The sequence below is a fragment of the Homo sapiens genome, chromosome 17, assembly GCF_000001405.40.
Source record: "Homo sapiens chromosome 17, GRCh38.p14 Primary Assembly".
Taxonomy (NCBI): Eukaryota; Metazoa; Chordata; class Mammalia; order Primates; family Hominidae; genus Homo; species Homo sapiens.
Window position 1 is genome coordinate 37978075 of NC_000017.11, and position 23987 is coordinate 38002061.

A 23987-nucleotide genomic window follows, 5' to 3' on the forward strand; every position below is an offset into this window, starting at 1 on the left:
ATCATTATTAGGGGCAGCTGGATGGAAGGTATAGGAGGATACTATAGTGCCTTTTCAATATTTCTGTCTAAAATCTAAAATCATTTCAACAGGAAACATTTATTTCAAAACATGAAGGTGGTTATCCTTCCATGAGTTTGAAGTACAAAGGCAGGCTCACGGTGTCGTCAGAATTCAGAACGATGGTCGTGGGGCTGGGGGTGCTGGGAGGGGCTGGGCATGGTTGGCTTTGTGATCTGGGGTCTGGTGTGTTCCATCTCTGAATCTCTCTCGAGCTGCACTCTTTCTTAATACATTTTCATAAGTTTAACCAAAAATAAAACGAGGATGCGAAGCTTGCTTGGGTTGTTAAGCCTAGGGAAATTATCCAGCCATGAGCCCTGGCCCAGATGCTTCTAGAAGCCTGGAGGGAACTGAGAACTTTCCAAGTGGAGGCCGCAGAGGCAAGGCCCTGAGGTGGGAGCACACGGCTGTTCGTCCCTAGCTCTGAAGGGGGTGCCCTGGTCGGAATCAGTGCTGGGTGCAGCGAAAGCCGATCTCACCCGCTCCGCAGGGTGTTCAGCCTGCCAGCAGGGGGCCAGCTGGTCCTCCTGGGATATGGCACGGACCCAGCAGCTCTGTCTGAAATCATAATGGCGGAACCAAGGGCCCTCTACGTCCAGGTCCGTTGGGAGGCGGGGCATGGAGTTCCACTGCAGGAATCTCCAGGAACCCTGAGGTCCTCCCTGAGCCAGGGCCGGGCTGGGCACACCCTGAGTGCCCACAGGGTAGGTGTCTTCCCGGACAGCCCCACCAGGACAGGGTGTGGAAGAACGAGGTGCCCGTGGCGGGGAAGCTGACCAAATGGGCCGCGGGAACCGGGCTGGTGGGCCTGGAGGGGCCTGCCTGTCCCCCTTGCAGAGGGTCTTCCCGCCACGTGAAGCCGGCACAGGCCTGGATGCCGACGACCCTTGCTCGGGTTTGGCTGAAAGGAAAACAGACGCGGTCAGCATCTCCAGTGAGCCCACGCAGGCCTTTCCGGGCTGGGCCCCACCTGCCTGCGTCTCTGGAGTCCTCGGGGTCTCTGTGTGGCCCCCGTGGCCTGACACCGAGGACACGCCTGTAGTCTGCTGATCCCAGAGGGAGGGGTGCGTGCTGCCTGGCGTGGGGAAGCTGTCGTGGCATGGCGGGTGGCTCCTGGGACTGCCCCCAGGGTTCAGACTGGCTGGGGGCTTCCTGCCACACACCTTCGTCCCAGGGCTGTTGGGCCTGGGATACGGCCCCCAGTCAGAACTCAGGTGGGAGGGGCCTTGGATGTCACCCAGCCCCTTGTCACCTCACGTGGGGACCCGTCTCCGCAGTGGGTGATTGGGCCCGGACGTGGGTCACCCTCTGCCCTCCTGGGCTGCCCAGTCCATGCCAGGACTGACCGTTCCCACTTCTGGCTGAACTCTTGGCTCTGGCTCTGGGCCCGGGGTCCCGCCTGTGCCCTCTCCCTGAATGCTCTGTGGGTCAGGGACACGGATTCCCTTGTCTCCCTGGCTCCAGGCTTCTTGTCCTGGCAACCTTGGAGGAGCGTGCAGGAGTGAGGGGCCTCTGCTGCTCTCTGAGGCTGTGGGTGCTTGCAGGGAGGGGCGGGGTCTCCCACAAATGGGTCTGGGCTCGTCTAGTAACTTGGAGGGCCCTGCGAGGGGGAGAGGGAGACACCGTGGAAAGTGGGAGGGGGCTTGTTGGAGGGTCTTGCCCACATCCCCCTCCTGCGTGCACAGCATGTCCAGTATACACGCACTGAGCGCCTGCCCTGAGGACCGGTGGGCCTCCTGTACTTTCTTAGAGTCCAGGAGGAAGAGGAGGAAGAAAAGGTGAAGAGGAAGGCCCAGGTAGTAGGGTTGCGGGTCCCGGGCACTCCCCTACTACTGACTACCCCAGAGGGTGACATGGGAGGGGACATGGCACTGGAGCCCACCTGGGGGTTGCAGGTCCCCCTGCTTTCTTGTTAGTTTCTTCATAGAGGCCCTAAGATGCTTGAGCACAGTGTCCTCATCCCTGGCCCAGGTATCAACGAACCGGTTGCAAAAACGTGCCCACGGGCCACACCTGGACGTCTTCGTGAGGCGCTCTAGGGACAGGGTGGATATCAGGCCAGGGGAGTTACCTGGGAATGGTCACAGCTCATACCCCGTGGCCACTTCAGTCTCCTACTGGGCGGTGCCGGATCCTTTTGTGGCCACCCCAGGTGTCCAGATACACACAGGAGACTGTGGCTGGGGGGCGATCCGGACAGGGAAGTGCTCACCACACTCTCGACTTTCATCTGGGTCATGTGGGGGATGGGCTCGGTGTCACAGTGTCCTGCCCAGCCCACCTGGCCAGACCTCCCTCTGGGCCAGAACAGAGGATCATGAGGACAGTGTGAGGAAGCTGCCCTCGGGCCAGTCGGGGTCTGACCCCAGGGCTCCCCAGGCCCCGCTGGGCACACGTAGACTTACTCTGCTGAACCTTAAAGGCGATTCTTGTTATCGGCATCAACGCCTGTTCGCCTTCTACCAGATACACGTCCCACAGGCGCAGGGTGAGCCCGAGAGAGATCTGTGGGGACAGCAGGTGTGAAAGAACCTGGTCCTTCCAGGCTGGGGCTGGTGGCTCGAGCTGCGCACACTGGGGCTTCAGTCTCCAGAGTCAGTGACCTTCCCCATGAGGGTCGCCTGAGCCCTCCAGGACGCTGGGTCAGACAAGGTCTTGAAGCTCCTCATGGGGGGCACTCATTTGAGTGGGGATGTGGCTCCTGGAGAGAGGGGCTTGCCCAGGGCTTGAGGCTTCCCTGAGCCCTCTCAAGTCGGGTCCTGGCCCAGTCTGCCCATGAGGCTGGGCCTGAGCCCCAGCCATGGCCCTGGGATGACCCCCCTTGGGCAGAGGGTTTTGCTTGTGTGTCCTTTGGGGACCCGCCTGAGCCTCCTGTGGGCTGGGAGTGAGCCAGACCCCCGGGCTGGGGAAGCAGGGCACTGCAGGGCAAGGAAGGTCCCTGAGCCAGGGTCTCCCTATGCCTCCTTACCCCGTCAATCAATATCCGGATGAGGCAGCCTAACGGGGAACACTGCCCACATAGATCTTTCTTGTCCTGATGGAAGCAACAGAGGTGCTCAGGCCACTGGGCTGCCCTAAAAACCTCCCTCTTCCAGGGCCTCTGAAGACCCTTCCCCTAGTGCAGAACACTGGGCGGTGTCCAGAGCTCCCCACAACACTGTCACCTTCCCACACTCCCGGTGGACACACTGCCCTTTGCCCTGCTCTGCGGGAGCTGGGCCCCCATCCCTGTGCCTCTGTCTCCTCCAGGGCAGGAAAGGAAACCAACTCCCAGCCCATGGAGAACCCGACGTCCCAGGTCAGGCCCTGGCTGGGACTCAGCCAGTCACCAGCCCCACGAGGGGCTCCAGCCCCCCTGCTCCTACAGCCCCACGGGAGGCAGGGCCTCTGGGAAGAGCTGAGGGGACCATAAACTCACCTGATGCCCCATGGTCTTGGGTTGTGACGTGGCTACCACATGCTCCTGTTGGTCTTGGAGCCCCTGGACGGTCCCGCCATTTGGGCTGTGAAATCCTGAGAAGCCCCCAGCCCATCATGAAATCAGAGCCTTCCCCCAAGATGTGGAGCCATCAGCTGCAAGAGCTGGGCAGCTGGAGAGGCCCCCAAACCCCAAGGCCTCCCACCCTCCCATCTGGTGACCCCAACATGCGGCCTTTACCCTGGGGAGGTGGGGCGGGAACATTCCCTGGAGCCTGGCTGGAGGTTCCCCTGGAGGCCTCCTGGGCCAGGGTGCAAAAAGGGCAAGCCTGACTTTCAGGCCACGACAGGGTGGCCGGAACTGGGTGGGCGCTGGGCTTCCCGGTCATCTCCTGGTAGTGGGGTCGGGCCAGGGAACAGGGGATGGGGAGATGCTGCCACCTGGGCTTGGTCGGCCCGTTCGTGGGCACCGATGGCAGCAGGAGCCCGGGCAGCTGGAGGGCAGGAGGACTCTCAGGGAGGGGAGAGTCAGCTGCACAGAATCAGAGCCGGAGGGCGTGGCTCCAGGACACAGAGGGTGGCCACGGGGAGGATGAGATGCCCTCTGCTGATGGGGATGAGAGGCGTCTGATTTGGGCTTTGGGGGTCAGCCGTGGACTCCTGTGGGACCCTCAGCAGAGACATCCTAAAGTCTCCCAACAAGCTGGCGACACAAGGAGGGTGCCTTGGCTGAAAGCTGTGATCACCTGGCCAGGGTGGCCATCCCCAGGTCTGGCTGCAGGAGGTCCCCGGGGCAGCTGTTCACTTACCCTGCAGGGAGTGCCTCTCACTGGCCAGCAGCTGCACCAGTGCCCAGAATGCATCCTCCTCAGGAAGATAGAGGAGGAACAAGGCGGCGATGTGGCTCAGGTCCCTGCAGTAGCCCACCTCCTGCAAGAGCCAGAGTCACCATGGAAGGACATCACCTGGGAGGGCTGAGGTCACCTGGGAGGACTCATGTCATTGGAGAGGGCAGAGGTGACTGGAGAGGCTTCCTCTGAAGGAGAGGCTTCCTCTGAAAAAGAGGCTTCCTCAGGATGCACATTCATTTCATGACAAGAGCCAAGTCCATCAGGCACTTCAGCACCTTGTCCAAAATGTCTGCTGATAGCACCATCCTGTGTGCGATGCTGCCAAGCTCCTGGGCTTTGGGGCAGCCCCAGGAGGAGGGCGTCATTTCTTGTTCTGAGAAGTGGTGGTCAGGCCCAGGTGACACCAGGAGTCCAGGCCCTGACTCCTTTGTGTCTCAGCTTGACCCCTTGAGACCACCCCCTTCCTTGGAGGTTTATGCCAGCGGTGAGCTGACATCCTACCTCCTATATCCTGGTGGGTCACAAATACTAACTGTAAAAGAAGCAACGACACCCCCACCAGACACCCACTCCTGTCAATATGGAAATATGGCCCGGGAACCTCACTGCCGGGAATACTCACCGGGTTATACTCCTCATATGCCAGGAGGATGTGGAGTAGTTCCCGCTGCCTAGGAAACAGAGAAAGGGGGCTTTGGTTTGTTTTGTGCAGATGTTGTTAATTTCACTTTGTCTACAAAGCCTAACAGCAAATCCCATTTCAGGTTCAGATGTTTCACCAGATAAGCAGTGAGCTCTTCAGGGCCTGAGACTCTTGAAGAAATGTTTCAGTAAAATCCACATCTGTGACATGCAAATAGCCCAGTTGTACAGTGACTTGCCTGATCCTTTTCACTCTGAATGATTTTTTTTTTCAGTTTGCACACACGCCAGTTCAGTCTGTGGGTGTACAGTTCCTCCACGGTTCCAAACCGATGTGCAGAGTCTCCCGGCCACCGCTCCAGCCCCTCCTGGGGCGACTCCTTCATCCTCCAAGTCTCCAGGGTGGCCCCTATGCACCCAGCCTCTCCCCGATCCGTCAGCCCCTGGCCACCCAGACTGCTTCTCAGTCCCTGTGGTTTGGCCTTTTCCAGAATGGCCTAGGAATGGGAATCCTACTGTGGTAGCTTATTGGGTCTGGCTTCTGTCCCTCAGCAAAATGCATCTAGGATCCACCCACGTTCGTGCGGGCATCACCGGCTCGTTCCCTTTTCTCACTGGGTCTTCCGTTTGAAGGGAGGACCAGCCTTGCTCTCCCCATCCCCGTGTTGAAGGCCGTCCCCGAAGGCTCCGTGTGTGAGTGACGAGGAGTCAAGCAGTGAACCTGGCATGCTGGTTTCATGTGGATGTCAGTTTGCAAATCAGTGGGTTCAATATCTGTGACACTTTGGGGATGTGTGGTTCAAGTCCATCGAGCTTTGTGAGCCACTGCCCAACGGGCTGCCAACGTGGCTGTGCCATGTCATGTTCCCAGCGGACCTGGATGAGAGTTTCCAGGACCCCTAATTCTCCCAGCATTTGGTGCTGTCACTGTTGCCTGGGGGTGGCTCATGGGCCCTCTATCCTGCCACCCTCCCGTGGGTCCTACCATGGGTCCCCATGGGTCAGGGAGAGCACCCTTCACCATTGTGCATGATTTTGTTTGCTGCCTTCCATCTCCTCAGGATCCTCCTGGGTTCTGGCCCCACATGTTCCAGTCTGGCCCAGGGCTTGGAACCAGGGAGGTGCTCGGTTCATGGTGCCGGCTGCTCCCTGGGCCGGGAGAGCTCTTGGCAGCTGTGTCATCCCTCCTGGGTGACCCTGGCTTCTGCTCCGGGGAAGCCCCCATCCCTCTCATTCACCCCATCTCTGCTGGGACCCTGTGGCTCCCGTAGGCTTACTTGGTTCCGTATCGATCCCTGAAGAATATATGCTTCCTTAATGTCCCGCTTACGTCCCGGTCGATGCGCTGGATGTGCTCAGATGACCTCTTGCCCTTCTCCTTCATGATCTGTAGGGCAGGGCCAAGAGGAGGAAGCAGTCTCAGAACAGATGGAAGACTCCCTGCCCCCAGTGGCAGTCAGCCCACAGTCAGCACTTCGGGAAGGAAGGACAGAAGGAAGGTTTCCTTCTGCAGAAAGCTGCATTTTGGCTTGTTACTGAAGCCAGGGAGGGTCACCAGAGCTGAGTTTGTCTGTGGTGACTGTGTCACCATCTGTGCCCAGGGTGTTCATCTGACCTTCACCCCCAGCTCCCCAGGGTGGTCTTGACGTTCCCTCCAGCTGGAGACCTGGGCCCCGACACGGCCTGTCCTGTTTGTTGTGCTCTGGCTGAGCGTACCTGGTATCTTCCGGGGTTTTTCAACTTCATTTCCTCAGTGTTCAGGAGGACTGACCACATCGGGCCCCGGATGTTCATGGGCATTCCCTTGTACGCTCGATCTATGAGCTGTGGGCAGAAAACGATCTGGTGTCACAGGCCACGGGGTGACCCCAGTGAGGACCAGAGCCCGGGGATTCTGGAAATTGTCGGTTTTGGCCCCATGATTCCTCAGTAGAGGTGAGATCAAGCTGGGACAGGGTCTCCCTTCCCAGGACTGAAAGAGTGGATGGACACTCAGAGTCGAAACTCTGATCTGAACCTTTTCCTTCCTTCAGGTCACCAGGGCATCCCTAGCCTTGAGCTCCGGGTAGTCCCAGCCCTAGATTCAGATTCCCTCCCTGCAAGGTGACGCTTGCACGAATAGGCAGGAAATCTGGCGACCAGGCCTGCAGTCCTCTGGGCGAGGACAGTGTGCCGCCCACCCTCTGAGAGGCTGATGGTGCCAGGCCACAGCCATGGGTGCCTGTCCCCTGTCTCTGCAGAGAGTGCTTCCTCCCTCCACACGTTACCTTTCTGCTGCTTTTGTATTTCTCCCAGTCTCCCAGCATATCCACCCACTTGCTCTTTCGGCTGATCTCCCGCCGAATTTGCTGTCAAATGAGGCATGTTGGAGTTAGCGGAGCTGCCAGGCTTCCCAGAGCCGCCCGCGGATGCTGGGTCTTGGGCTCTGGAGCCCTGGTGGGAGCCAGCTGGAAGGAGCCAGGGAAGGGCAGACCTCAAGGGCTGAGAGCCTTTGAGCAAATGAGCACCAGTGGGCTGGCTTTGGGACCCCGGGATGTACCATCCTCAGGCCACAGACACACCAGTCTTAGGTCCCAGCCTCTAGGTGGGGTCCTGACACAAGCGCGCAGCCACCCCCAAGCCAGGACTGTGGTTCTCCTTTTGGAATTTTATCAAACTGCCAAAGTGAACAGCAACCTGGGGTCAGGTCCAGCAGGGACTGCTGCCCCTCCCAGTGACAGCGTGTTGCCCTCACCCGCCACCGCTCAGGCCAGCTGCTTCCTCTGCCTCACTGACCACCCGCCCAGTCCCTACGTCCCTGGACCAGCCCCTCCACGCATCAGGCTCTTACCTTCGCCTCCCGCGCAGTCAGAGGAGGCAGCTCCGTCTCACTGTAAGGCAACCCAGGCAGAGCTGAGGAACTGCACGGGGCCTGGAGCGGCCCCAGCCTGGGTGCCGACCCCCAGAAAGGACTGGCTCTGTCCCTTTCCAGCTCAGGGCTCAGCCCAGGAGAAGGCACAGGGAAGGGAGGACAAGGGCCTTCCTGTGGGGCTGACTCCCAGGAGGGGCAGGACCTGGGAGAAGAAGGAGTGTAGGGACAGCCTGGCCGGGGTTACTGGGGCCCCTGGCGTGGGGGGCGGTCAGGCTGCCCAATGGGGCTGCCCGTCCTGGACTCGAGGTGGTGCTTTCTGCTGGAGCTGAGAAAGGTTAGCCCTGAGATGGGATGGGGGCCGCCCAGGGTGGGCGACCGGGCCCTGACAGGAGTCCCTCAGGGAGTGACCACATCCCCCCGCCAGGGTCAAGGGAGCCTGCCCTGAGACCTGCCCGGTGTACTCTGGCTGCACCAGGGGCCCACCCCACTTGACAGCCCCAAGGCCCTTGCAGGTTCTGACCTCCCAGCATCCACCTGCCTCTCCCTGCACCCGAGCCACACACCCTGCGTTTCAGAAGTGGCACGGCTCGTCAGCTCCCTCCCGCCCTACCTCCCCAGGGATCCTCTGTCTCTCCATCCTGTGATCCCTGAGGGATGGGCTCCTGGCTGGGCTCCTCTTACCCGGCCCCAGATCCCTTCCCAGCACCAGACCCAGGTCTTTAGCCGCGAGCCCTGCTGCCTCCCTGGCCTCACCGTGAGATGCCCAGAACGGGGCCCTGCCCATCTTCTCCCCCGTTCTCCTAGGGCTACAGCCCCCATTGTCACCATGCCTTTTCCCCTCACGGGACAGTGAGGGCTGTAGCTCTAGGGGAATGGGGGAGAACAGGGGCAGGTGGGCCCTCAGAGACCTGCTGGACAACAGCCCTGAGGCTGGGCCAGGCGTCTCCTCACCCTGTGGCCATAACCCTTGCATCTCACCGGGGTTGTCTCCAAGTAGACAGGGCCAGACCCTCAGGCTGCCCCGCTCCTCTTGTGCTCACTTGCCGACAGAACTGCTGAGCGCCCAGGGGCCTGACCTAGCCCAGTCTCCATTCCCACCGGCTCCCTAGATGGGCCCCACACCTCTGGCCTAACAACCTCGGGCTGGACCTGCAGGGGAGTCAGGGAGGAGTTCTGTCCCTGGAAAGGAGGTTGACCCGACCTGGTGAGACATGTCCTGCGTCAGAAAGGCCTTTCTAAAAGCAAACCCATCCCTGAGCTGAGACAGGTGCTTTAGGGGTGAGGGGAGTGCAGAGGACTCACTGTACAATCCCCAAATGATCGACGTTGTTGTTGTAGCTTCGAAAAGGCTTAGGCCCCTTGTCCTCTGGCAGCCCAGCTCGGTGTCCCTGTAGCCCAGAGGGAGCCTTGGTGAGGGGTCCAAGGTAAAGGGTGCAAGGGCCTGGGGGCATTGGCCACCCGTCCCTGCCCTGTGCTCCTAGGGAGCCCAGGACCCTTTGACCAGGGCACACTGGAAGAGGCCTCCCTCCAAGAAGCAGACCGACTTGTACCTTTTCGTATTTCATAATGATGTCCTCTCGCTCTTGTGCCCACCAACTGCCCGCGACCTCTACCACGTCCATCCTGTGAGACAGAATTGTCTAAAGGTCACACCGTACGCGGCGGCTTCGGAGAACACCTGAACCGCTCTCGCCGGGCTCCCAGATGCTGGCTGGCTGCGTAACCCCCATTCCACCGCCGCCCCCAGGGAAAAAGGGGCCAGACCCAGTGGCCCACAGCTGCTCCAGTCTCTGGAGTCTCAAGTCCCAAGCAGGGGTGGGCATCTTCCCAAGGACTTGAGTACAGTGGGACCTAGACAGAGAATCCTGTTGTCCCCCAATGCCATGAAATGGGGACACACCGGCCCCAGCAGGTTGAATGGTTTCCACCTGCCAAGGGTGAAGGGCCCATGATGGGCTATTCCAGGGATGTGGAGGCAGACTGGGGTCAGCGACCAGAGGTCTCTGTGCAATCGGCCTCCTGGGATGCTCAGGGCCTCAGCGATGCCCAGTTTCCTACAGGGAACAAGATCTCTCCCGACTGCTCGGTTCTACTCCGCTCATCACTTTGGCTACCGTGGCTCTTCAGTCTGAACAGTGAAGCCACTTTAGGAATAACGCCTGTTGAGCAGGAGGGTGTTGGGTTTGGGGGATGAGAAAGATCTATTGTACGCATGGAAACCACGTCTCTCGCGGAGGGACTGTGGAGTCCACCATTCTGAGCCGTCCCAACAGGAGGAGGCTTCATTTTCCTGGGTCACTGAGGAAGAACAGTGGGTCCTTGGTCCTGGAGAACAGCTGGATGGACCGTCCCTCCTGGGAATACTCGAGGCAAAAGGAGGGCGAGGCCTCAAGAGGACCACGCAGAGCAAGAAATACCTGGGGAGAACCCTAGTGCCCGGACCCCTTTGAACACAAGGGAAGATAGTCTCCCCTCAGCCAGCCCTCCAGGGCTCCTTCATTTTCCACAGCTGCCCAAGGGCAGCAGGCTCCCCCGGACAAGGGACCATGTGTGTTCAGTGGGGCCCACAGCGACCATCAGGACCCAGCTTAGGGCACAGAGGTGTTCTGAGGACCGTCAGTGGATCTGTACCAGTGGCTCTATACCAGTGGCTCTGCCAGGACCAGGCTCTGCCCCATCGGGATGGGAAACCTGGGCAGATTTGGGATCTAGGGCAGGGAGGTCACAGGGTTCAGGCCTGAATTCCAGCACAGCACACGGCAGGGCTGAGAGCAAAACTCAGGGTCATGTCCGGATTCCCAGGCCGGTTACTGCCTCTCTGACCCCAGACGTCTCATCTGTCGAATGGGGACATTTGGGAACAGCACCCACTCTACGAAGCCACCATGGAGACGAAAGAGCCAATCGTCTACACGGGCAGTGTAGAACGGGCGCCTGGTGAGTGCTCAGGGATGACCCTCCTCGGTAGCTGCCCCACAGAGGCCAACACCGCCCGCACCGTAGCCACTGCCCCCAAGTCCGCCTGGAGGGAAGAGAGCAGGTCACGCTCACCTGATTCTGATGAATCAGCTGGCCTGGGTCGTGCCTCTCAGGGAGAAAACCTTTGAGTCCACAGAGCTGCTCACAGATACCACTGCCTGTGTGTAACTGCTGTAGACCACTGAGGCAGACCAGAGAGCAGATAGGTGCTAAGCACCAGTGACATTCTGAGGTCATGGCACGAATCACAGTGGGGCCTTGCCCGGGTCAGCAGCGCCCAGAGTCAGGGTCCTCCGCTGCCTGAGGCGTCAACATGCCTGCCTGCAATGTGTTTGTGCACGTGCGTGCACATGTGTATGTGGGTAAACACATCTGTGCACGTGTGTGCTGCTTCTCTGGCCAGGCCCGGCTGCCCCACTCATGTGTGCACCCAGTTCCTCATCACTGTCACCCCCGAGGCCCAGGGCCAGCATCAGAGCATCCATGGCTGCTCCCTAACCTCAGCCCTCCCCGCCCAGGGTGGTCCTGGGATACACATAGCGGTGGAGGGAAGTGACTGCTGCTGTTGGATCTCAGAATACAAAAGCTAGTACTATTACCTAATGGTCTTTTTAGTGTCTCTAATGGTATCGCTTTTTCATTTCTGATATTTTAACTGGGTATTTCTCTCCATGACCCTTGGATATTCTAGCTAGAGGATCCTGTGGGGAAAGTGCCGGGCACACAGTTAGGGGCTCACTCTTCTAGACATGTTATCTAAAACCTGGTTCATCTGTCCTTCCACACAGGGCCTAGGGGATGCCAAATTCCAGGGGCCAGAAAGAGCTTGGGATAAAAAGAAACTTCAAGGGGACGGCTTTGACCTGGGCTGAGTCTGCCTGTGCCATCCAACTGGAGTCTCAAGTCCTGAGGCAGGACGTCCAGATGCCCCAGTGCAGGGTCCTCCTGATCAACACCTGCTCCCCTGTACTCATTAGCAACCTCACCCACCCTACTCTCAAAGCACACTTGGCTCTCGTATCCAGGAGCTCTGCATCTGTAGATTCAGCAACAGCAGATGGAAAATATTCAGAAAATAAATTGGACGGTTATGTTTCTATTGAACATGTGCAGAGTTTGTTCTTGTCATTATTCCCTAAAGAATCCAGTATCACGACCATTTATGTAGCATCTGCATTGTATTACACATCATGAATAATCCAGAGATGGTCTAATGTCTACGGGAGGATGTGCATAGCTGATATGTAAATACTAGGCCATGTTATGTCAGAGACTTGAGGATCCATGGATTTTGGCATCCCCGGGGACCCTAGAACTAATCCATGGATACCAAGGGATGACTGTATAAACTCACTCAGGAAGGCTTCTCATTGGAGGAAGGTCCCAGTTCAGGACACACAGGGACATCTCCCTGGACTACTGTCCATTCATCCATCCATTCATCCATTGTCTCCCCCCACCCCCCCATCTCGGACTGTCCCAGTGACAGCCCTAGCAAGAAGAGACAAGAAACAAGTTCACGTTGTCCAGTTTTGAGGTAATGGAAGAAGTTGCACCAGTATGAGAATAGTGGGTCAGTTTTCTACAGGATGCAGAAAGCATATCGGGCAGCCTCGGGGTGCGGAAAGGAGCCTGGCCTCTCTAGCAGCCACACAGGCCTGCAGTAGGATGGGGCTGTGGCTGGCCATGTGGATCACTTGGGCCTCATGAGGGGAAAGGAAATACCAGGGGGGCAGAAGAGGAGCATGGGGGCAGCTGGTTGCCTAAGGAGAAGGCACCTCAGGGAAGGGGACTGTATTCATTTGTTTTCACACTGATGTAAAGAAATACCTGAGATTGGGTAATTTATAAAGGAAACAGGCTTAATTGACTTGCAGTTCCGGAAACTTACAATCATGGCAGAAGGGGAAGGGGAAGCAGGCACCTTCTTCACAAGATGGCAGGAGGGAGATTGTGCAGTGGCACAATCTCGGCTCACTGCAACCTCTGCCTCCCGGGTTCAGGCAGTTCTCCTGCCTCAGCCTCCCTAGTAGCTGGGATTACAGGCATGCACCACCACGCCTGGCTAATTTTGTATTTTTAGTAGAGACAGGGTTTCACCATGTTGGCCAGGCTGGTCTTGAACTCCTGACATCAGGTGATCTGCCTGCCTCCGCCTGCCAAAGTGCTGGGATTACAAGTGTGAGCCACCGCGCCAAGCCATATCTGTTCTTTTTTTTTTTTTTTTTTTTTGAGACAGAGTCTCACTCTGTTGCCTAGGCCAGGCTGGAGTGTGCAGTGGTGCGATCTCGGCTCACTGCAACCTCCACTTCCCTAGTTCAAGGGATTCTCCTGCCTCAGCCTCCCTAGTAGCTGGGATTACAGGTGCATGCCACCACACCTGGCTAATTTTTGTATTTCTGTAGAGACCAGGTTTCACCATGTTAGCTAGGCTGGTCTCAAACACCCGACCTCAGGTGATCCGCCCGCCTCTGCCTCCCAAAGTGCTGGGATTACAGGCATGACCCACCGCGCCTAGTCCATATCTGTTCTTTTTTTTTTTTTTTTTTTTTTTGAGACAGAGTCTTGCTCTGTCGCCAAGGCCGGAGTGCAGTGGCGTGATCTCAGCTCACTGCAACCTCCGCCTCCCGGGTTTAAGCGATTCTCCTGCCTCATCCAAGTAGCTGGGACTACAGGCACCTGCCATCATGCCAGGCTAATTTTTGAATTTTTAGTAGAGAAGGGGTTTCACCATATTGGCCAGGCTGGTCTCGAACTCGTGACCTTGTGATCCACCCGCCTCGGCCTCCCAAAGTGCTGGGATTACAGGCCTGAGCCACCGCACCTGGCTAGCCTGTGTCTGTTCTTTAAAATTGTTTTGTTTTCCTTACTCTCAGATTCTTCTTGCTGCTTATTGTGCCTTGTTGCTGCCTGTTGTGCAATTTCTTCCCTCTTGTATTTTACTGAACTTCATCTGAAGAAGCCTTAGTAGCCAGATAAACAAGCTTGTTTGGGCTAAAAAATCAATTGCTGTGTGAGAGTTTGTTGGATTCTCTTCTGAGTAAAGGGTATGTGTTTTATTGTACGGACTTTGTATCACCTATTTTGGCTTTTCATCCAGGCCTTTTTTTTTTTTCTTTCTTTTTAGCTTCCTGGTTCTAGATACAACTGATACTCTGATACAACCTGGGTAAATGTGGTCTTGAGTAGTAAATTATCTGTGAAGCTTCTCCGAACTTTGCCACATAAATGAGCCTGCTCTTGTTGTGAAGTAAATCTTACTCTAATCTGTATGTGAGTCAGTGGGAAATAACTGAGCCTTCGGATGGCTTTTGTTGTTAACTGAGATTAGTTCTCTAGATTTTAGTGATTTTGTTTTGAACACCATACAAGTATGTGGTTCTTGGTTTATTTGGTCACTTGTAATCTCTTTAAAATTTTATTTTAAATTAGGAAGTATTTTAGAAATACAAGAAAGTCACACACTATGAGATTAAACAGATGTTAACATTTTGCCCCATTTTCATCAGACTGTGCATGCTTTTTTTGGGGGGGAATAAAATGTCACAGATACCACTAAAGCCCGTTTCCATCTCGTCCCACCCTGCCTCTAGAAGTAACTTCTTTCTTCAGGTAGGTGCGTATTATTCCTTTTTATTCCTACGTATAGTTTAAAACTTTAATTGCATATTAGTAGCCACAAACATCACATACCAATATTCTGTGCCTTTTGCATTTTTACATTAATGGTAATTATTTTTGACCTTCTGCAAATGGCTCTTTTCAGTGTTTCTTGTTAGAAAACTTGGCTCAACTTGAGTTTACTAATTATCTGCTTCTTCTTGTCTTTAGCTATTATAGAACTGTTCCACCAAGGCAACAATTATTGCTATTTTAATGGTGAAATCAGTTTTATTAGGCAAATTGACTCAGGCTTCAGACTGGCATTTGGAATTGTCACACTGGAGATTTTCTTTTACTGAAGTCTCAGGACATTGACAATCAGAAAAAAACCCTCTTGAGTCTTACTATCGTACATGTAAGATATGTTCCTGAGTGACTATAGTAAAGACTCATTCAGGAAAATGTTATCTCCGATTTCTGCCTCCCTAGCTCATAGGAAACTTCCATTGTAAAGTTGTTACCAGGCGTCAAGCTGCCTCTTTGGTACAGCCCTTACTTAGTATTTGGCTCAGTTGAAGTGCAGTCTATATAGGAGGCCAAGAAGACTTAATCCTGGGTTTGAAACAAAGCAAGGATACACTAACATTCTATCCTTTAATAACATCAAGTAGAAAAATTGAAAATGAGCTTGTTATCAGTGCACTTTTATATGCCAACCTTGTTTCACTTGTGTTTTAAACTGGGAAACTGAAGATTTTAATGCTGAAATTTCTTTGAATTATTACCTGTTTTTTTGATAGTGGAACACACAGCTAATATTTACTAATATGAAGGTGTCAAAGGTGAGAAATCATGTACTACACCATCAGGTCAGCACTACTGTTTGGAAGAGCAGCATCACAAAGAGCAGTGTTATACTGCGTTGTAGTCAGCACATACACTTATGTCCAGACAGATATTTTAAATTACCTTCTTGGGGTAGTACACATATGCTGATATCCAAAGTGCCATATAATACAATACATAGTTTTTAAACTTCATATCATTCTGATCAGAAGCTTTATAAACTGTTAGGTGAATGCTGTTAGATGATATGAGAGCACAATTTAACCTGTGTGTGTGTATATGTATGTCTTAACATCTATTAAGTGATGACTACATATGAGGCACTAAGTGCTAAAACAGAGACTTTACATAGATTATCCCATTATTGGTCAACTTTTTAAATAAGTGCATCTCTAATATAAGACAAGATGCTGACCAATTTTTAAAATGTGAATGGATTTCTATTTTTAAGATAAGTACCTTTGTTCCTTTGGTTCCTCCCTCCCACCCTTCCAGAAATGGTAGTATCCTGGAAAAAAAAAATTAGTAGCAATTCAAGAAACAGCTTAATTCATTAGTATAAATAGATGAGTTTCCCCTAAACACAGGAGGAGTTGGAAGGTACTTGAAATTGGATGTTGTGCATGGTGCCTTTCCAAAATGCACAAATACTTTCTCTCAAATGGTTGCAGTAGTAATGTGCTGTGTGATTTGGCATGTATAATGTTGTACAGGTATCTTGACATTGGTGGATTAACTGCTTGGCTACTGTGAAATTCACTGTAGATGTTGATGGATGAAAGTGTGGTTGCCTAGGTAATGATTAAGACCAGTAACTAAACCACAGTTATTATTTTGCTGGCATAAACTTCAAACTCAGAAAGGTTTTTATTCATTTTACCCATTGGAGCATACCCCAGTAAGTGCTTCATTTCTTTGTGTTTCTGATTTTTTTTTTTTTTAAGATGGAGTCTTGCTTTTGTCGCCCAGGTTGGAGTGCAATGGCGCGATTTCGGCTCACTGCAACCTCCACCTCCTGGGTTCAAGCGATTCTCCTGCCTCAGCCTCCCGAGTAGCTGGGATTACAGGTGCCTGCCACCACGCCCAGCTAATCTTTGTATTTTTAGTAGAGATGGGGTTTCACCATGTTAGCCAGGCTGGTCTCGAACCCCTGACCTCGTGATCCACCCACCTTGGCCTCCCAAAGTTCTGGGATTACAGGCATGAGCTGCCGTGCCCAGCCATGTTTCTGAATTTTTAAGTCAACTTCTGAATAGGCAAAGAATTCTTTTTGTTTTTTTGTTCAACTTTAGTGCTATAAATCGCCAGTTGGACACAAAGGTTTTAGTGCTATTTAGGTATGTTTTGGTGAAATAGTGTGAAGGAATATTGCTGCTTAAAAGATAAGCCATTCATTAAATGACGTCTTTGTTTTGAAACATGAAGACTTATGAGAAGCATTTTTTTTGTAAGCCAAAGTAGTTTCACTTTATGTGTTACAGATTTTGAATAGCTCATTATAGACTTTGTAATTTACTGTCTCTCATTTAGGCAGGTAATTTTAGTTGCCAGCTAATCATGTTTAAATATGTATTGGTTATTAATAAATGATTACCCGTATACAGGTCTTTCATGCAGATAGCGTACTACTCTGATGTTCTTACCTAGTTTTGTGGTATGTTCAGTTGTCTAAGAGCATTGTTGATCTGCACACAGATTTTGTTTGGTCTATACAGTGTTTCTGAAAACTTGAATTAGTTACCATTAATAAAAAATAGAGAGACTGCACATGAAATCTGAATTTGTAGCTTTTAAAAAAAAAAATTGGAAGATCAGGCCAGGTGCGGTGGCTCATGCCTGTAATCCCAGCACTTTGGGAGGCCGAGGCGGTCAGATCACCTGAGGTCGGGAGTTCGAGACCAGCCTGACCAACATGGAGAAACCCCGTCTGTACTAGAAATACAAAATTTACCGGGCGTGGTGGCACATGCCTGTAATCCCAGCTACTAGGGAGGCTGAGGCAGGAAAATCGCTTGAACCTGGGAGGCGGAGGTTGCGGTGAGCCGAGATCACGCCATTGCACTCCAGCCTGGGCAACAAGAGCAAAACTCCGTCTCAAAAAAAAAAAAAAAAATTGGAAGATCTGTCAGCACTAAACCTGCCAGTCACCATAGCGATAATTCTTTGGCTCCAAGAAATGGCTACCACCTCCTTCTTTTAAGGGGTTGTGCACAGCTTCCACATGGCTTGCTACACTTACCTGCCTCAGGAAGCATTTCTTTGTGATTTAGGGCATCTGTGTTTTTGTTATTTTAGATTTAGAACATTCAAATGTCTGGAAATGAATTTGAAGTTTTGTTTTAAGCAAGGTTATGACTAAATTGAAAAATGCACAAGAGGCCAGGCGTGGTGGCTGACGTCTGTAATCTCAGCACTTTGGGAGGCTGAGACGGGCGAATCACGAGGTCAGGAGTTTGAGACCAGCCTGACCAACAAGGTGAAACCCCATCTCTACTAAAAATACAAAAATTAGATGGGTGTGGTGTTGCACACCTGTAATCCCAGCTACTCAGGAGGCTGAGGCAGGAGAATCACCACCGAGTGTGGTGGCTCACACCTGTAATCCTAGCACTTTTGGAGGGTCAGGCAGGCAGATCACTTGAGGCCAGGAATTCAAGACCAGCCTGGCTGACATAGAGAGTAGAGAGACCCCATCTCCACTAAAAATACAAAAATTAAGGCCGGGCACGGTGGCTCACGCCTGTAATCCCAGCACTTTGGGAGGCCGAGGCAGGCGGATCATGAGGTCAGGAGATCGAGACCATCCTGGCTAACATGGTGAAACCCCGTCTCTGCTAAAAATACAAAAAATTAGCCGGGCATGGTGGCAGGTGCCTGTAGTCCCAGCTACTCGGGAGGCTGAGGCAGGAGAATGATGTGAACCTGGGAGACGGAGCTTGCAGTGAGCGGAGATTGTGCCACCGCGCTCCAGCCTGAGCAACAGAGCAAGACTCTGTCTCAAAAATAAATAAATAAATAAATAAACAAACAAACTAGCATCTTGGTCCATGTTTTCCTGTGCACACATGAGAGAATTTTTCCATGGAAAGGAACCTAATAGTGGACTTTCTGGATTGTTGGACATAAATCTTCAACTTTACCAAGAACTGCCAAATTATCCTCTAGAGTGGTGTCAACTGACATTCCCATGAGCAAAGAATGAAGAAATCCCACTTTCAGCATGTTCTGAAAAACTTTAGTATTTTTGACAATCTAATGGGTATTAAATGATAGTCCTGGCCAGGCACAGTGGCTCACGCCTGTAATCCCAGCACTTTGGGAGGCTGAGGTGGGTGGATCACTTGAGGTCAGGAGTTCAACACCAGCCTGACCAACATGGTGAAACCCCATTTCTACTAAAAAAAAAAAAAAAAAAAAAAAAAAAAAAAATTAGCCAGGCCTGTGGTGCGTGCCTGTAATCCCAGCTACTTGGAAGGCTGAAGCAGGAGAATCACTTGAACCCAGGTAGTGGAGGTTGCAGTGAGCTAGATTGAGCCATTGCACTCCAGCCTGGGCAACAAGAGCAAAACTTTGTCTCAAAAATTAAAAAAAAAAATTTTTGTACTGATAGTCCATTGGTTTAATCAGAATTTCCCTGATTACTAATAACATTGGTTACTATGCATCTTTTCTCGTGTGTGTGTGTGTGTGTGTGCACGCGCCATTAAGTTTTTCCACTGTGAACTGCTTGTTTAACACTCTTGTGCATTTTTCTTTTTTTTTTTTTTTTTTGAGATGGAGTCTCGCTCTCTCACCCAGGCTGGAGTGCAATGATGCGATCTTGGCTCACTGCAACCTCCATCTCCTAGGTTCAAGTGATTCTCCTGCCTCAGCCTCCTGAGTAGCTGGGATTACAGGTGTGCAACACCACACCCATCTAATTTTTGTATTTTTAGTAGAGATGGGGTTTCACCTTGTTGGTCAGGCTGGTCTCAAACTCCTGACCTCGTGATTCGCCCGTCTCAGCCTCCCAAAGTGCTGAGATTACAGACGTCAGCCACCACGCCTGGCCTCTTGTGCATTTTTCAATTTAGTCATAACCTTGCTTAAAACAAAACTTCAAATTCATTTCCAGACATTTGAATGTTCTAAATCTAAAATAACAAAAACACAGATGCCCTAAATCACAAAGAAATGCTTCCTGAGGCAGGTAAGTGTAGCAAGCCATGTGGAAGCTGTGCACAACCCCTTAAAAGAAGGAGGTGGTAGCCATTTCTTGGAGCCAAAGAATTATCGCTATGGTGACTGGCAGGTTTAGTGCTGACAGATCTTCCAATTTTTTTTTTTTTTTTTGAGACGGAGTTTTGCTCTTGTTGCCCAGGCTGGAGTGCAATGGCGTGATCTCGGCTCACCGCAACCTCCGCCTCCCAGGTTCAAGCGATTTTCCTGCCTCAGCCTCCCTAGTAGCTGGGATTACAGGCATGTGCCACCACGCCCGGTAAATTTTGTATTTCTAGTACAGACGGGGTTTCTCCATGTTGGTCAGGCTGGTCTCGAACTCCCGACCTCAGGTGATCTGACCGCCTCGGCCTCCCAAAGTGCTGGGATTACAGGCATGAGCCACCGCACCTGGCCTGATCTTCCAATTTTTTTTTTTAAAAGCTACAAATTCAGATTTCATGTGCAGTCTCTCTATTTTTTATTAATGGTAACTAATTCAAGTTTTCAGAAACACTGTATAGACCAAACAAAATCTGTGTGCAGATCAACAATGCTCTTAGACAACTGAACATACCACAAAACTAGGTAAGAACATCAGAGTAGTACGCTATCTGCATGAAAGACCTGTATACGGGTAATCATTTATTAATAACCAATACATATTTAAACATGATTAGCTGGCAACTAAAATTACCTGCCTAAATGAGAGACAGTAAATTACAAAGTCTATAATGAGCTATTCAAAATCTGTAACACATAAAGTGAAACTACTTTGGCTTACAAAAAAAATGCTTCTCATAAGTCTTCATGTTTCAAAACAAAGACGTCATTTAATGAATGGCTTATCTTTTAAGCAGCAATATTCCTTCACACTATTTCACCAAAACATACCTAAATAGCACTAAAACCTTTGTGTCCAACTGGCGATTTATAGCACTAAAGTTGAACAAAAAAACAAAAAGAATTCTTTGCCTATTCAGAAGTTGACTTAAAAATTCAGAAACATGGCTGGGCACGGCAGCTCATGCCTGTAATCCCAGAACTTTGGGAGGCCAAGGTGGGTGGATCACGAGGTCAGGGGTTCGAGACCAGCCTGGCTAACATGGTGAAACCCCATCTCTACTAAAAATACAAAGATTAGCTGGGCGTGGTGGCAGGCACCTGTAATCCCAGCTACTCGGGAGGCTGAGGCAGGAGAATCGCTTGAACCCAGGAGGTGGAGGTTGCAGTGAGCCGAAATCGCGCCATTGCACTCCAACCTGGGCGACAAAAGCAAGACTCCATCTTAAAAAAAAAAAAAATCAGAAACACAAAGAAATGAAGCACTTACTGGGGTATGCTCCAATGGGTAAAATGAATAAAAACCTTTCTGAGTTTGAAGTTTATGCCAGCAAAATAATAACTGTGGTTTAGTTACTGGTCTTAATCATTACCTAGGCAACCACACTTTCATCCATCAACATCTACAGTGAATTTCACAGTAGCCAAGCAGTTAATCCACCAATGTCAAGATACCTGTACAACATTATACATGCCAAATCACACAGCACATTACTACTGCAACCATTTGAGAGAAAGTATTTGTGCATTTTGGAAAGGCACCATGCACAACATCCAATTTCAAGTACCTTCCAACTCCTCCTGTGTTTAGGGGAAACTCATCTATTTATACTAATGAATTAAGCTGTTTCTTGAATTGCTACTAATTTTTTTTTTCCAGGATACTACCATTTCTGGAAGGGTGGGAGGGAGGAACCAAAGGAACAAAGGTACTTATCTTAAAAATAGAAATCCATTCACATTTTAAAAATTGGTCAGCATCTTGTCTTATATTAGAGATGCACTTATTTAAAAAGTTGACCAATAATGGGATAATCTATGTAAAGTCTCTGTTTTAGCACTTAGTGCCTCATATGTAGTCATCACTTAATAGATGTTAAGACATACATATACACACACACAGGTTAAATTGTGCTCTCATATCATCTAACAGCATTCACCTAACAGTTTATAAAGCTTCTGATCAGAATGATATGAAGTTTAAAAACTATGTATTGTATTATATGGCACTTTGGATATCAGCATATGTGTACTACCCCAAGAAGGTAATTTAAAATATCTGTCTGGACATAAGTGTATGTGCTGACTACAACGCAGTATAACACTGCTCTTTGTGATGCTGCTCTTCCAAACAGTAGTGCTGACCTGATGGTGTAGTACATGATTTCTCACCTTTGACACCTTCATATTAGTAAATATTAGCTGTGTGTTCCACTATCAAAAAAACAGGTAATAATTCAAAGAAATTTCAGCATTAAAATCTTCAGTTTCCCAGTTTAAAACACAAGTGAAACAAGGTTGGCATATAAAAGTGCACTGATAACAAGCTCATTTTCAATTTTTCTACTTGATGTTATTAAAGGATAGAATGTTAGTGTATCCTTGCTTTGTTTCAAACCCAGGATTAAGTCTTCTTGGCCTCCTATATAGACTGCACTTCAACTGAGCCAAATACTAAGTAAGGGCTGTACCAAAGAGGCAGCTTGACGCCTGGTAACAACTTTACAATGGAAGTTTCCTATGAGCTAGGGAGGCAGAAATCGGAGATAACATTTTCCTGAATGAGTCTTTACTATAGTCACTCAGGAACATATCTTACATGTACGATAGTAAGACTCAAGAGGGTTTTTTTCTGATTGTCAATGTCCTGAGACTTCAGTAAAAGAAAATCTCCAGTGTGACAATTCCAAATGCCAGTCTGAAGCCTGAGTCAATTTGCCTAATAAAACTGATTTCACCATTAAAATAGCAATAATTGTTGCCTTGGTGGAACAGTTCTATAATAGCTAAAGACAAGAAGAAGCAGATAATTAGTAAACTCAAGTTGAGCCAAGTTTTCTAACAAGAAACACTGAAAAGAGCCATTTGCAGAAGGTCAAAAATAATTACCATTAATGTAAAAATGCAAAAGGCACAGAATATTGGTATGTGATGTTTGTGGCTACTAATATGCAATTAAAGTTTTAAACTATACGTAGGAATAAAAAGGAATAATACGCACCTACCTGAAGAAAGAAGTTACTTCTAGAGGCAGGGTGGGACGAGATGGAAACGGGCTTTAGTGGTATCTGTGACATTTTATTCCCCCCCAAAAAAAGCATGCACAGTCTGATGAAAATGGGGCAAAATGTTAACATCTGTTTAATCTCATAGTGTGTGACTTTCTTGTATTTCTAAAATACTTCCTAATTTAAAATAAAATTTTAAAGAGATTACAAGTGACCAAATAAACCAAGAACCACATACTTGTATGGTGTTCAAAACAAAATCACTAAAATCTAGAGAACTAATCTCAGTTAACAACAAAAGCCATCCGAAGGCTCAGTTATTTCCCACTGACTCACATACAGATTAGAGTAAGATTTACTTCACAACAAGAGCAGGCTCATTTATGTGGCAAAGTTCGGAGAAGCTTCACAGATAATTTACTACTCAAGACCACATTTACCCAGGTTGTATCAGAGTATCAGTTGTATCTAGAACCAGGAAGCTAAAAAGAAAGAAAAAAAAAAAAGGCCTGGATGAAAAGCCAAAATAGGTGATACAAAGTCCGTACAATAAAACACATACCCTTTACTCAGAAGAGAATCCAACAAACTCTCACACAGCAATTGATTTTTTAGCCCAAACAAGCTTGTTTATCTGGCTACTAAGGCTTCTTCAGATGAAGTTCAGTAAAATACAAGAGGGAAGAAATTGCACAACAGGCAGCAACAAGGCACAATAAGCAGCAAGAAGAATCTGAGAGTAAGGAAAACAAAACAATTTTAAAGAACAGACACAGGCTAGCCAGGTGCGGTGGCTCAGGCCTGTAATCCCAGCACTTTGGGAGGCCGAGGCGGGTGGATCACAAGGTCACGAGTTCGAGACCAGCCTGGCCAATATGGTGAAACCCCTTCTCTACTAAAAATTCAAAAATTAGCCTGGCATGATGGCAGGTGCCTGTAGTCCCAGCTACTTGGATGAGGCAGGAGAATCGCTTAAACCCGGGAGGCGGAGGTTGCAGTGAGCTGAGATCACGCCACTGCACTCCGGCCTTGGCGACAGAGCAAGACTCTGTCTCAAAAAAAAAAAAAAAAAAAAAAAGAACAGATATGGACTAGGCGCGGTGGGTCATGCCTGTAATCCCAGCACTTTGGGAGGCAGAGGCGGGCGGATCACCTGAGGTCGGGTGTTTGAGACCAGCCTAGCTAACATGGTGAAACCTGGTCTCTACAGAAATACAAAAATTAGCCAGGTGTGGTGGCATGCACCTGTAATCCCAGCTACTAGGGAGGCTGAGGCAGGAGAATCCCTTGAACTAGGGAAGTGGAGGTTGCAGTGAGCCGAGATCGCACCACTGCACACTCCAGCCTGGCCTAGGCAACAGAGTGAGACTCTGTCTCAAAAAAAAAAAAAAAAAAAAAGAACAGATATGGCTTGGCGCGGTGGCTCACACTTGTAATCCCAGCACTTTGGCAGGCGGAGGCAGGCAG

General features: G+C 50.5%; 1 protein-coding gene across 8 annotated transcripts; it reads right to left on the reverse strand.

Annotated features, from left to right (window-relative positions):
- Positions 1 to 80: 80 nt before the first annotated feature.
- On the reverse strand, positions 81 to 10986 carry TBC1D3L (TBC1 domain family member 3L). 8 transcript variants are annotated; one of them, NR_170630.1, is made up of 14 exons: positions 9375 to 10986; positions 9127 to 9212; positions 7804 to 8026; positions 7241 to 7321; positions 6690 to 6797; positions 6251 to 6360; positions 4954 to 5002; positions 4290 to 4410; positions 3922 to 4183; positions 3482 to 3576; positions 3032 to 3097; positions 2469 to 2568; positions 1946 to 2098; positions 81 to 964 (listed from the first exon to the last, which is right to left on the reverse strand). NR_170630.1 is itself a non-coding variant. In NM_001291459.2 (14 exons), exons 2-14 carry the CDS (start codon positions 9444 to 9446, stop codon positions 396 to 398), a joined length of 1650 nt encoding a protein of 549 aa, NP_001278388.1. In that variant the 5' UTR covers position 9447; positions 10876 to 10986; the 3' UTR covers positions 81 to 395. The 8 variants fall into 8 exon arrangements, 7 of the variants coding, with proteins under 7 accessions (NP_001278388.1, XP_011522477.1, NP_001356429.1 ...); NM_001291459.2 differs by lacking the exon at positions 3922 to 4183 and having other exon boundaries at positions 7804 to 7843; positions 9375 to 9447; positions 10876 to 10986; XM_011524175.3 differs by lacking the exon at positions 3922 to 4183 and having other exon boundaries at positions 9375 to 9447; positions 10876 to 10986.
- Positions 10987 to 23987: the final 13001 nt, after the last annotated feature.

What these genes read in the sequence shown, in the direction of transcription:
- TBC1D3L (XM_011524175.3), bottom strand. Translation starts at nt 9,446, where the DNA reads ATGGACGTGGTAGAGGTCGCGGGCAGTTGGTGGGCACAAGAGCGAGAG. An exon ending in AAAACCCCGGAAGATACCAG is followed by an intron (nt 6,361 to 6,689) that starts GTACGCTCAGCC and finishes CCTGCCCTACAG; the next exon opens with ATCATGAAGGAGAAGGGCAA. An exon ending in TGAGAGGCACTCCCTGCAGG is followed by an intron (nt 3,577 to 4,289) that starts GTAAGTGAACAG and finishes GGGGCTTCTCAG; the next exon opens with GATTTCACAGCCCAAATGGC.